Source organism: Homo sapiens, chromosome 6 (genome assembly GCF_000001405.40).
Source record: "Homo sapiens chromosome 6, GRCh38.p14 Primary Assembly".
NCBI lineage: Eukaryota > Metazoa > Chordata > Mammalia > Primates > Hominidae > Homo > Homo sapiens.
In genome coordinates, this window is record NC_000006.12 from 141,819,258 (window position 1) to 141,833,007 (window position 13,750).

The 13,750-nt window shown below is 36.2% G+C and overlaps 1 annotated feature.

Annotated features, from left to right (window-relative positions):
* Positions 10,623–11,146: an enhancer, noted in NCBI's record as "OCT4-NANOG-H3K27ac hESC enhancer chr6:142151017-142151540 (GRCh37/hg19 assembly coordinates)". NCBI's record gives its function as "activates a minimal SCP1, AML or CMV promoter by ChIP-STARR-seq in naive H9 embryonic stem cells {active_cell/tissue: H9 hESC(naive)}" and the evidence as "EXISTENCE:reporter gene assay evidence [ECO:0000049][PMID:30033119]".

Sequence of the window (13,750 nt, forward strand, 5' to 3'; positions counted from 1 at the left end):
AGGTAATTTACAGATTCAATGCCATCCCCATCAAGCTACCAATGACTTTCTTCACAGAATTCGAAAAAACTACTTTAAAGTTCATATGGAACCAAAAAAGAGCCCGCATCGCCAAGGCAATCCTAAGCCAAAAGAACAAAGCTGGAGGCATCACGCTACCTGACTTCAAACTATACTACAAGGCTACAGTAACCAAAACAGCATGGTACTGGTACCAAAACAGACATATAGATCAATGGAACAGAACAGAGCCCTCAGAAATAACGCCACATATCTACAACTATCTGATCTTTGACAAACCTGAGAAAAACAAACAATGGGGAAAGGATTCCCTATTTAATAAATGGTGCTGGGAAAACTGGCTAGCCATATGTAGAAAGCTGAAACTGGATCCCTTCCTTACACTTTATACAAAAATCAATTCAAGATGGATTAAAGACTTAAACGTTAGACCTAAAACCATAAAAACCCTAGAAGAAAACCTAGGCATTACCATTCAGGACATAGGCATGGGCAAGGACTTCATGTCCAAAACACCAAAAGCAATGGCAACAAAAGCCAAAATTGACAAATGGGATCTAATTAAACTAAAGAACTTCTGCACAGCAAAAGAAACTACCATCAGAGTCAACAGGCAACCTACAAAATAGGAGAAAATTTTCACAACCTACTCATCTGACAAAGGGCTAATATCCAGAATCTAAAATGAACTCAAACAAATTGACAAGAAAAAACAAACAACCCCATCAAAAAGTGGGCGAAGGATATGAACAGACACTTCTCAAAAGAAGACATTTATGCAGCCAAAAAACACATGAAAAAATGTTCATCATCACTGGCCATCAGAGAAATGCAAATCAAAACCACAATGAGATACCATCTCACACCAGTTAGAATGGCAATCATTAAAAAGTCAGGAAACAACAGGTGCTGGAGAGGATGTGGAGAAATAGGAACACTTTTACACTGTTGGTGGGACTGTAAACTAGTTCAACCATTGTGGAAGTCAGTGTGGCGATTCCTAAGGGATCTAGAACTGGAAATACCATTTGACCCAGCCATCCCATTACTGGGTATATACCCAAAGGACTATAAATCATGCTGCTATAAAGACACATGCACACGTATGTTTATTGCGGCATTATTCACAATAGCAAAGACTTGGAACCAACCCAAATGTCCAACAATGATAGACTGGATTAAGAAAATGTGGCACATATACACCATGGAATACTATGCAGCCATAAAAAATGATGAGTTCATGTCCTTTGTAGGGACATGGATGAAATTGGAAATCATCATTCTCAGTAAACTTTGGCAAGAACAAAAAACCAAACACCGCATATTCTCACTCACAGGTGGGAATTGAACAATGAGATCACATGGACACAGGAAGGAGAATATCACACTCTGGGGACTGTGGTGGGGTTGGGGGATGGGGGAGGGATAGCATTGGGAGATATACCTAATGCTAGATGACGAGTTAGTGGGTGCAGCGCACCAGCATGGCACATGTATACATATGTAACTAACCTGCACAATGTGCACATGTACCCTAGAACTTAAAGTATAATAAAAAAAAAAAGAAAGCAAAGAAAAAAAACTCACTTTCTTATTAATTAAAAATAACTTGAACGGGTTGTGGAAAACTTTAATGAGTAATCAGTAAACCATTTATAAAATAAATCTGTTATTGACTGAATCAATTGAATAGTCCTCTATTATTTGCCTTGTCAAATTTGGATTGTATTATTAGTCAGAAAGTTAAGCTGAGGCATTAAAATAGCCCCATATGTTTTGTCATTCTCTGTTTTGTTAGGGTAAACTCTTAAAAAATACAAAAAAGACAAAACCATAAATGTACTTCTTTGATGAATGTGTATAAGATAAACATAGCCATGTAATAATCAGCCAGATCAAGTAGAATACTTCCAGAAACAAAATCTCCCTCATTTCTACATTCATTTATTAATGTTCCTTGATAAAGGTAAACAGTTTTCTAAGCCTTCATGGTACATTTTTTTTTTTTTGCCTACTGCAGAAAGCTGTATACTCCATTGTGATTGATTTTTTGTACTTTAAAATATGGTTGTGAAATTCATTCATGTTGTTGTATGTTCTGGTAGTTCATTTGTTTTCATTTTCATGTAGTATTCCATGTATAAGATATTCTATTTTATTTATTTATTATACTGTTGATGGACATTTGGGTTGTTTCTAATTTGGAACTCAAAGAATGGTGTCAGTAACATTATTATTAATGGCATTTGCTGCAAATAAGCTCATGGAAATCAGAAAAAAAATGAGCTAAGTCAATTTCAAAATGTGAAAAAAAATATTGAGTATTTACAAAATAAGATTTCCATATGGTCAATAGACATGTAAAAAAGTCTTCAAAATAATTAGTCATTAATAAAATGTAAATTAAAACCCAATGAGATACCACAACACACTATACAGAATGGCAGAAAATAGAAAGTAATGCCAAATATTGGTAAGGATATTAAAAAACAAGAATTTTCACATATTGCTGCTGATTCTGTAAACTGATATAACAGCTAACTTCTATTGTTTAACAGTGTCTAGAAAAGCTAAACAAATTTTTCTTTCTGATGTAAATTTTCCAAGAAAGTTCAACAAGACATAAAGAAATATGTTTATAGCCCAGTATTCATAATGGCCACCTTCATTTTCTAGGATATTTCAGCTGGTTATAGTATTCTAGATGGATACATTTTCTCTTGGCATATCACAAATGCCATTAAATATCATCTGTTTTCATAATTTACATTGAAAGATCAATAGTTATTCATATTGTTGTTCCATTTAAATTAATCTATTTTCTGCCTCTGCTATTGAATTTGTTAATTTTGTTTTAATAACATTATTTATCTCTACCTATGCCATTTCCTTCCAAGGAAATAGTTCTTTAAATATTGTTTCATTATTTTTCCTCTCTTGTACTTCATATACATGCATAGTAGAAACTTTCACTGTGTCTCATCTGTTCCTTTCTCTTTCTCTCTTCAATAATACATGTTATGTTATCCTCTGCTCCATAATATATACACATATGTATATATATTACACTGGCTATATTACATTGTCTACCCAAGTTTGTATGGTTCATACCCCCATAAACCTCAGTTTAAATATTTTAACTATCCTATCTTTAGTTTACTATCCCCCACTTCTGCTGAATCTGATCTAATTTTTAAAACAGATTTATTAAAGTCTTATTTACATAAAAATAAATCTATCAATTGTATAATAGGTAATACATTTATAGAATTGTACAATCACAACAATCCATCTCTAGAACATTTGCATCACTCCAAAATATTTCTTTATACCTTTTTACACTTAAGCTATGCCTTTCCCAGATATGGCAACAACTAGTCTGGTTTCTGTATCTGTACATTTGCCTTTTCTGGTCATTTCAAATAAATGTAAATCATATGATACATGGTCTTTTGTGATTGGCTTCTTTCACTTGCGTAATGTTTTTGAGGTTTATCAATGTTGTACTATGTAATCATGTTTTTTCCCTTTTTTATTGCTGAATAGTATTTATTGTGTTGATATAAAACAGTTCATAGATTCATTTACCAGCTAAATGGACATTTGAATTGTTTCCACTTTTTGGCCATTATGAAAGTTGCTGCTATGAACATTCACATCATGTCTTTGTGTGGAAGTTTTTTTGTTGTTGTTTTTATTTTTCTAGGCTGATACCTAGGATTGGAATTTCTGGGGTTTATGGTAAATTCATGTTTACCTTTTTTTCTTTTTGAGACAGGGTCTTTCTCTGTTGCCCAAACTGGAGTACAGTGGTATGATCACAGCTCACTGAAGCCTCAAACTCCTGTGCTCAAATAAACCTCCTGCCTCAGCCTCCCAAGTAGCTAGGACTGCAGACACATGTCACCATGCCAGCCCATGTTTAACTTTTTAAGGGACAACCAAACTGTTTTCCAAAATGCCTGTACCATTTTACATTCATACCAGAAATGCATGAAAATTTCAATTTTTTCATTTTCCTGTCAAATGTTGTTATTGTCCATCTTCTCAATTGTAGCCACTCTAATAGTACATAGTTGGAAATTAATGAATACTAAATACATAAATATATATGTATGAGTAAATTCCATTAGGTAAATTTTTCCAGGAAAAATTTATAAGAAAGATTACTTTTATTTTGACTCTACTTGTAAAAATCTCAAATATATTGTGAGCAAATAATCAGACGTAAAAAGCATAACATTATAATCAAGTATGATTATACCAGTAATTGAAGGGTGATCCAACATTTTAAAATGTTCTTTAGCTACTCTGTGTAACATACGAATAGCATTGTAAAGTGTCCAATATCACCTTGATTAAAAATGTATGATAAACTAGATGAAACTTTATTTTTAACATAAAAATTGTTATATTTTTATGTAAAGTGTCAAAAAAGGAGATACAGTATTTTCCAAAATAAAAGTAATGACAGTGATCTGTTGTTCTCTAATCCTAAATAAATCTCCACCCTTCCCTCAAACTCTTTCATTCTAACTCTGATAAACCTACCCTGCAAAGTGAAAGTAAACTTCCTATTCAAAAATTAGTCAATTTTGGTTGCATCCATATCTGGCAAATTTTATACAGCTATGGTTTGGGAAACCAAAGTTATTAGACTATATGCAATAACTTGAAGCACAGCTTTCCCATGACGATATTTTTCACAACCACATTTTGAAATATATATAGGAATACACTATAATTGACATTTTGACAAACCTTGGGAATGTTCATACATAAATGTGTAAGGAGTCCACAAGAATACCCTCAGATTCAAAGACTCACTAGAAGGGTTCGCAAGACACTCAATAAAAAACCGTTAGATGCATGGTTATGGTTAGTTACCATGAAAGGACACAGATTTAAATCAGCAAACAAAGATGAATGGGGTGAAGTCCAGAAGCTGGGTATAAGATTTTAGATGTCACCTCCCAATGGAGTCACACAGGGACACAACTCTCCCAGCAACACTGTGTGAAAACACATGTAGAGTCTTGCCACCAGGAAGCTCATCTGAACTTTGATGTTCAGAGTTTTTATTGGTAGTCAGTTATGTGGATGTGCAGTGCCCACATCACAGACCTCAGCTTCTCAGACTCCAGGCCTCTCACCCTAAAGGAAAAACAGACATTCAACACATATCACACAGCTAGGATAAACACATCTGGTCAAATTGGTACAACATCGCCTAAGGCCTCAAGGATACAAAAACACTGTTATCAGGCAGAATACTGTAAGGGGTTGAAGGTTATCTCCAAGTAGTTGGCTAAGGGCCAGTCCTGAAGATAGATCTTTCTTTAGAATGTGCAGGATGTGAGCCAACCAAGCCTGCTGAGTTAACCCTTTCCTGTCCAATAAACTACATACATGTTTGGTTTCATCAATACAAAATATCATTAATTTTAATGTTGCAACACAATGGATTGTAATCCTTCCTTTGAATTTCCCAGTTTTCATTAGAATCACCAAATTTTGTATAATCTATTCTTGCATATTACATGTTGCTTAGTAAATATTAAATCAAAAAGATTTTGGCAATATTCAACACTGTGTGCCATTTTGTATATTTTTAAATTACAAATAATCATTGTATATATTCATTGGGTAGAATGCATAATGTGATACATATGTACCTTGTAAAATGATCAAATCAGACTGATAACATATCTAGCACTTCACATAGCTATAATTTGTTTGTGGTGAAAACATTTAAAATGCTCTCTTTTAGCAATTTTTAAATATGCAATACATTATTATTACTATAGTCACCATGCTGTACAATAGATCATCAGAAGTTATTCCTCCTAACTAAAGCTTTGTACCTTTTAACCAATATCTCTCCTTTTCCAGTCCACAACTCCCCTCCACCCTCTGGCAAACATCATTTTATTCTCTACTTCTGAGAGTTAGGCTTTTTAGATTCCACATACAAGTGAGATTATCTAGTATTTTTCCTTCCATGTCTGGTTTATGTCACTTAGCATAATTCTCAACATCATTAATCACATGGAAATGGAAACTAAAACCACAAAAAAACACTTCATAGTTGTTAGAATGGCTATTAACAAAAAGATGAAAGATAACAAGTGCTAATGAGGGTATAGAAAAAGAGGAACCCTTATATATCATTGGTTGGAATATAAGTTAGTACAGCCATTATGGAAAACAGTATGGAGTTTCCTCAAAAAACTAATAGTATAACTACCGTATACTGTACCATATACTAACTACCATATACTAACATATATGTATATAACTATCATATACATATACCATATACTAACAGTATAACTACCAGTAATCCCACTACTGGATACATATATATATATATATATATATATATATATATATATATATATAGTAATTGAAATAAGTATATCAAAGAGTTATGTGCATTGTCATGTTTATTGCAGCGTTATTTACAATAGCCAAGAAAAATTGAAGTGCCTATAAATGAATGTATAGATAAAAACAAAATGTGGCAGATATAAACAAAAGAATATTATCCAGCCTTAAAAAATAAAAATGAATAAATCTAAGTGCATGTTATTTTTGATAGAGATTCTAATGAGCTCAAATGCTCTAAAAATGCCAAATCATGAAAAAAAAGCCCTCCTTTTATTCCGAGCTTCTTCAAAATTTAATAACCTTTAAAAAACAATAAAAATAATGACAGAAGCTAAGAGAACATACTTAACTACCTACCAGAACCTAAAAAGCAAGCATCATAAATGTTATTCTTATACAGAAATATTCTAAATACAGTCTAGAAAAAAAGAGAAGTCTCTGTTTGCCATCACTACTGAAATTCTGTCTTTTTTACACATTTTAATTATTAGAGTATTTTTAAGGCTCACAGAAAATTTAATTAGAAAATATAGAGAGGTTCTGTATATGCCCCTTCCTCATATATGCAAAGCCTCCTCCACTACAACATCCCCCGCCAGAGGGTTATATTTACTACAGCCGATGAACTTGCACTAACACATCATTGTCACCCAAAGTCCACAGCTTACACCAAGGCTCTTTCTTGGTTTGTGCATTCTACGGGTTTAGACAAATGTTTACTATATTATCAATCATTATAGTATCAAACAGAATAGCTTCACTGCCCTAAAAATCCTCTCTATTCTGCCTTTTCATCCCTCCCTCCCCCCACAACCCCTAGCAACCAATGATCTTTTCATTGTCTCCACAGTTTTGCCTTTTCCAGAACATAATATAGATGGAATCATACAGTATATAACTTTTTCATATTGGTTTATGTCACTTACTAATATATATTTAAGTTTCCCCCATGACTTTCCATGTCCTGATAGCTTTTCATGGCTTGACATTTCATTATCTGGATGCACTACAGTTTATTTGTCCATTTGTTACTGAGTTTGGTCTGGGTCCTGTTGTTTGCCACAGAGAAAGCCAAGGAGAGGTAAGGAATTATGATGAATGAGAAGTCTGGTGTCTCATTGGCTGGATGCAGTGATCTGGTGAGTTACAATTATTCAGACGGAGGGTTTTTTCCTGAGGAAATAACTCAGATAAGACTTAAGTTTCAAGCTTTAAGACCAGGAGGGTCGATTTCTATGATTTTCCAACAAACAGTAAACATCATTTCTATGGGACAGTTTGACCAGTTGCAGCACCCACCCACTCCCCTAACTTTCCATTTATTAATTCCTCAACCACAGGGAATCTGGTTGTGGATACTTCTGACTGCTTCATGGTCAGGAGTGGCATCATGGGATGAGGAATGAAAACGTTATCCCTGTAGTTGGAAGTACTTATGGATACCTGGTTGGCATCTGGCTTGTTGGAGCACCATGACTTGGGTACTTTTATTAATGGTTTTAGAATATTTTAAGCCACATTGACTAGGATGATTAATAACATAAATAACCCAAATTTTAAAATGCCAAAAGAATATAGAGTGGATCCTTTGAGGAATCCAAGAGAACTGCATGTTGCCCTTATGATTTCTTATCTACGGTCTTTTGCTGGGTCTTGAGTTTTAAGTTAAGGCCATACTAGAGTTCACAGATTATAACTGTTTCCTCTGAAGGGATCCCAGAGGCACTGGTTTTACCCAAATATGGTGAATCCATAGCTTAGCACGGGCTAACCTGATAGATGAGTGGGTGGTCAGCAACACCTCAAAAAAACCAACCCTTGTGGTTGCCTTTGGTCTTCAGTCTGGTGGGATTTTGAGGTTTTCAGCAGGACATGGTCCTCTAGTTTCAAAGAGTTGAGAGGAACAACTTTAGTAAACTAGAGCCTGTTGGAAACAAACTCAGAGAGACCAGCTATTAATAATATTTTCCTAATTGTTTTACATGTGATCTAGGTTATATTTGGGGGAAGAAAATATCCTCAAGTGTCAGGGAGTCAGGGTGTTGGAGAAAATAGTCTTCCACGCATTTCAAAAAGGCTAAGAGCTAACCAACTTCTTGGGGCTGCGTATATTGTCAGCAAGGCAAGGGACAAGCTGTTTTCCCAGGTAAGATTTGTCTCTTGGCAACTGGGGCCCCCTTGACCACAAGTGGGTCCATTCAGTCTGTGCGGGGCTTAGGATTTTATTTTGTCCCATACTGTTGCTGGAGTGGTGTGGCTACCTGCCCCAGATCCATCCTGTCCCTCCATGGGAACCTAAATCACCAAAATACTCAAAAGATTTATAACTAATTATGTTTTAGACCAGATAAGAATGGAGGTGGGCAGACACTTTTTAACACTTAGAATCATTTAAGCCACAAAAGAGCCAAAAACTTAAAGCCAAAAGTGAGGTTACAGAATTGCCTGTGACTCAAAGGAATTTCCTTTGCCATTTAACAGGCCACACTCTGGCCTGTTTACCATACAGGACTTATTTTCTCACATAAAATTATTCTCTTTCTTTATAACCTTCCTTACCAAAAATACATCTTTATATCCATAACTTTCTTCACATGTCTCTCTCCTATTTACCGGTTCCTTTCTACCTTGTTTCATAAACAATCTTTTCAAGTCCATAATTTGAATCAATCTTTACATAACTTCTGAATTAGACAAAACTATTATTTTTCTCAATAAGAACACATCTTCTTTGGCACATTTTATATACAGAATTATATGTTAACTATAATTCTTATTCTTAGAAACCTTAAATTTTAGTGAAAATCTAGGAAGCAAGAAATCCTGAGCTGCTTATCAGATATTAGTATTTTATAGATGAAGACCATTCCACTATTTTTAAAAATACTTCCCCATATCATAACCCTTTCTTAATTGGAAGTGACCTAGATATCTAGTGACTATCCAAAATGATTTTAAGATTTTAAACTACACAAAAAGTTTACCAACAGCATTTACCCCATCTACATTTCATTCATTTTTAACCGTTTATCTAGATTACTTATGAGAACTCAGATACTAGACAAAGCTAGTCATTATCTCCTTGCTAACCATTTTTATACCCTGTGCATATTAGGTATTCACCCATGTCAGAAACTTAAGTACATTGGTATTTTCACCAGTCACTCAGAAGATTCAATTTTTTTCATTAAACTAACAACATTAAGTTAGTTTTGTTTATCAAAAAGACCACACAAAGATCACTTTGGATTTGGCTAGGTTTGTAGTTTTATAACCTTCTGTGTCAAACCCTGACACCTTAAAATATCTAGCAGAGACAAATATAAAACCTAGACAAAAATGTATGCTGACCATTCCAAAGACAATTCTATTTTAATCTTACCATTAATTTTAAAGACTGCTTGTTTATTAAAGATTTACTCAAGTCACATGCCCTTGAAAAGCACTTCAACATATTTACTTAATTTATGAGCATTATTTTATTTATAAACCAATTTGGTAGACACAACATTATTCATGTCCATACACATAAACACATCTAAACATGTATACACAAACAAAGATCCAATAGCTTTTATCTCAGATCTCTAGCCATGAGATAGCAATACGAACTCACTGGTTTACAAATATGTTCACCTGGATAAACTTTGTTTGCCACAATAGGTAATTCAAATAAAGCTGTGAACCAAAATTTTGGGTAAAGCAGTTTCCATGGCAGTTTGAGTTTTTAAGACCAAATCTCTTCACACTCAAAAGAACACTGGGGCCAAACACCACAAAAGAACATCACATACTGACCAGGCAGGACAGTGCTTAGAACAGTGGCATAAAAGCCTGAATGCAGAAACTCCATCCCACTTTGCCAATCAACAGGACACATACAATAACAACCACCAAACATAATCCAACTGCTGCAGCCAATAAGCCCAAGAGTGTCCAAACTGAAACGAAGTGCTTTCCTCTTTCATTCAGTTGGGCTTCTTCAAATTGCAGATGGAAATTCCTTTAGAATTCCTCAAATCAAGAGGAATAGACTTTGTTGTCTGGTACCCACAAAAGACACTCACCCATTCAGATGCAGATGTCAAATGTCAAAGGTTGTTCTTCCTAGGCAATCAGGAATGCGGCTGAGGCCAGAGGCAGTGGACCACAGAGAGAGAGAGATCAAAGCCCACCTCTGAGCAAATAAAAAAAAAGAGGCGGCTGCTTAGGAGGGCTTCTGAAACTCCTGGCCCTTGGCAGCTGAGCTATAAGTAATACAATCCTAATCAGGGAATCAAAATTTGTTACTGTCAGGCCTCTGAGCCCAAGTTAAGCCATCATATCCCCTGTGACCTGCATGTATACATCCAGATGGCCTGAAGTAACTGAAGAACCACAAAAGCAGTGACAATAGCCAATTCCTGCCTTAACTGATGACATTCCACCATTGTGATTTGTTCCTGCCCCACCCAAACTGATCAATTGACCTTGTGACATTCCTTCTCCTGGACAATGAATCTCAGAGCTCTCCACAGAGCACCTTGTGACCCCCACCCCCTGCTTGCAAGAGAAAAACCACCTTTAACTGTAATTTTCCACTACTTACCCAAATCCTATAACACTGCACCACCCCTATCTCCCTTTGCTGACTCCTTTTTCGGACTCAGGACACTTGCACCCAGGTAATTAAAAGCTTTATTGCTCACACAAAGCCTGTTTGCTGGTCTCTTCAAACGGATGCACGTAACAGTTACAAAAATGCCAGGGGTTTGGACTAGGTCCTGCTGCTTGCTCTCACAGAAAGCCAGTCACTTCAGTAACAAGTATTGCCAAAGAAGGCTTTATTTGGGTGCTTCAGCCAAGGAAAACAGGAGATCAGTCTCAAATCTGTCTCCCCAACTGAATACAATTATGAATTTACATAGCAGGGAAGCAATATAACTGCATGTGGGAAAACAGAAATTAGGAAAAGGTAAGGAAGAGGAGTTGGTAAACAAATTATGATGTATGAGGGCTCTGGCATCTCATTGTTTGGATGTGGTAACTGGTGAGTTTCATTTCTTGATACTATCTGCATGGCCTGAGGTCAGCTTTCAGGGGATGGAACTCAGATAAGACAAATGAATGTTTCAAGTTTAGAAGCAAAAGAGAAAAATATTTTTTGATTTGCATCTCACTTATCCTTCTCAAGCCCCACATTGGGCCTCAAAATGTTGGACTTTCTCTTCAGTTCAGTAAAAACCTGGGTTCGTGTCACATGACCAGGAAAGATTAGGCTTATAGACACATAGAAGGATAAGGACAATTGAATTTATTGAGTGAAAAGGAAAAATACTCTCAGCAAAGTGAGAAGGGTTCCTGTTAACAGGCCCCCTTCTCACAGATTGAATCCCAGATTATCATATAGGACATGGAGAGGCCAGGCTCCTCCCTCTTGCAAACAGCATGAACTTCCCAAGGCACCCTCCCATCCTCCCAGTGCACAGGCCAGTTGGACATTCTCCAGGGAGCCCTTTATACTTGACTGTCTCAGTAAAGAAGGCTATTAAAAGATTCTCCACATCATATATCATTAGGAATATGCTAATTAAAACAACAAAAAGATACCACTACACATCCATTAGAATTGCCAAAATGCAAAATGCCAGCCACACCAAATGTCGATGAGAATGTGGACTAACAAGAACTCCCATTTATTACTGGTCGAAATACAAAATGGTGTAGCCACTTTGGAAGACAGTTTTGACATTTTTTTACCAAAGTAACCAGATTCTTACAATACCTTCCAGCAATCACACTCCTTGTTATTTACCCAAAGAAGTTAAAAACTTGTCTACATTAAAACTTACCCATGGATGTTTATATGAGCTTTATTCATTATTGCCAAAACTTGGAAACAACCAAGACGGTCTTCATAGGTGAAAATGAAACCAGCTTAACTGTCCCATAGAACTGACGTTTACCATTTTTTGGATAAATGTAGAAATTGACCCTCCTAGTCATATAGAAAGAAGAAATAGTTATTCTTTCTGCAATTTATGCAAAAATAAGGCCAAGTATATGTCTAAAATCTATTTTGCAAACAACTCAAAACAACTCAGTCCTACCATGATTTTTTTTTAACAAAAATAAGGACTGGAGAGAGAGATGTTATGTTTCAAAACTTATCATACCTTTGTCATTAAATTCTAAGCTCATTAGTTATTTTAAGTTTTTGCATACATTTTTAGAGTAACCCTTCTTGTTCCTGTGAACCAACCAGCAATCTCGATGTGGCTCAGAAAAAACAAAAAGGATGGGTAATGTAGAAATCTGGATCAGTATTCTAGTTCTGAGCAATTATCCTGCAAATCCTGCCAGGTAAGGGGAATAAATAGGGTGCCTATCACCCAGGGGTTTCCTTTGGGGAAAGTAAGACCAAGAGAGCTAACAAAAGCCAAGCACCATGCACCACAATCTTAACAAGCGTAAGTACAGCCACATGTTTTGGGGGCATATGTCACAAGACATCCTTTCCTCTCCCTTGTTGGAGGAAGAGTCAATTCCACAGTTTCACCTTAGCATTAGGATTATGATAAGGAGCACATGCAATGCCTCCCGCAACCCGACACATTTTTGTCCCAAACTGAATTCCAAGCTTTGGGTCAAAGCCCTAGGAAAGAAAACTGGATTTGAGGTACCCAAAGGCAGACAATAACAGAAGTTAAGAAACACAGTGCAGGTGAGCATGGCTGATTCCTGCCAATTAAGCCAAGCTTCTCATTCCATGGATAAAGGTCATGCTAATATTCATGGCATAAATGAGGTCTAGGGAATTCAAGGATACTGACCATATCTCAGGGGAGATAGGGCGCATGTAGATAAGAATGGATACTCCCACCCCCCAGGCTCCCCTGTTAACACAGGTGAAAGCCACTTTAACACTCATGGGTGGTACCCTGTCGTGTTCACTGGGACTCAGGAATACAAGGATGGAGGAGAGAAAGAGGAATGCCTTACATTCCCTCCCTCATGTACCTCAGGTATTTGCTAGGAAGAGAAAGGAAACAGGGACCCCTGCTTCCCTCTTTCTAGATAAGTAGTCATTTATCTTCTATCTGTACTCCTTTTGAAAGCATCCTAAACCCCTGGGACTCCTTTGAAAAAATGCCTTTTCTTTTTCCTCCTCTGTCCTCTCTTCACAAATAGGTAATTGTGTCTCCATACTGTGTGCCACTCCCCTCAGATGCATCCTCCAAACTGGGAAGAGTTAGTTTCCCAAACCTTAAACTGGTAGGCATAGGACTGGGCTCAGGGGAAGGCAACCCAGAAGCCTGACATGCTAGCAAAATGGTAAACTTTTTTTTTTTTTTACCAG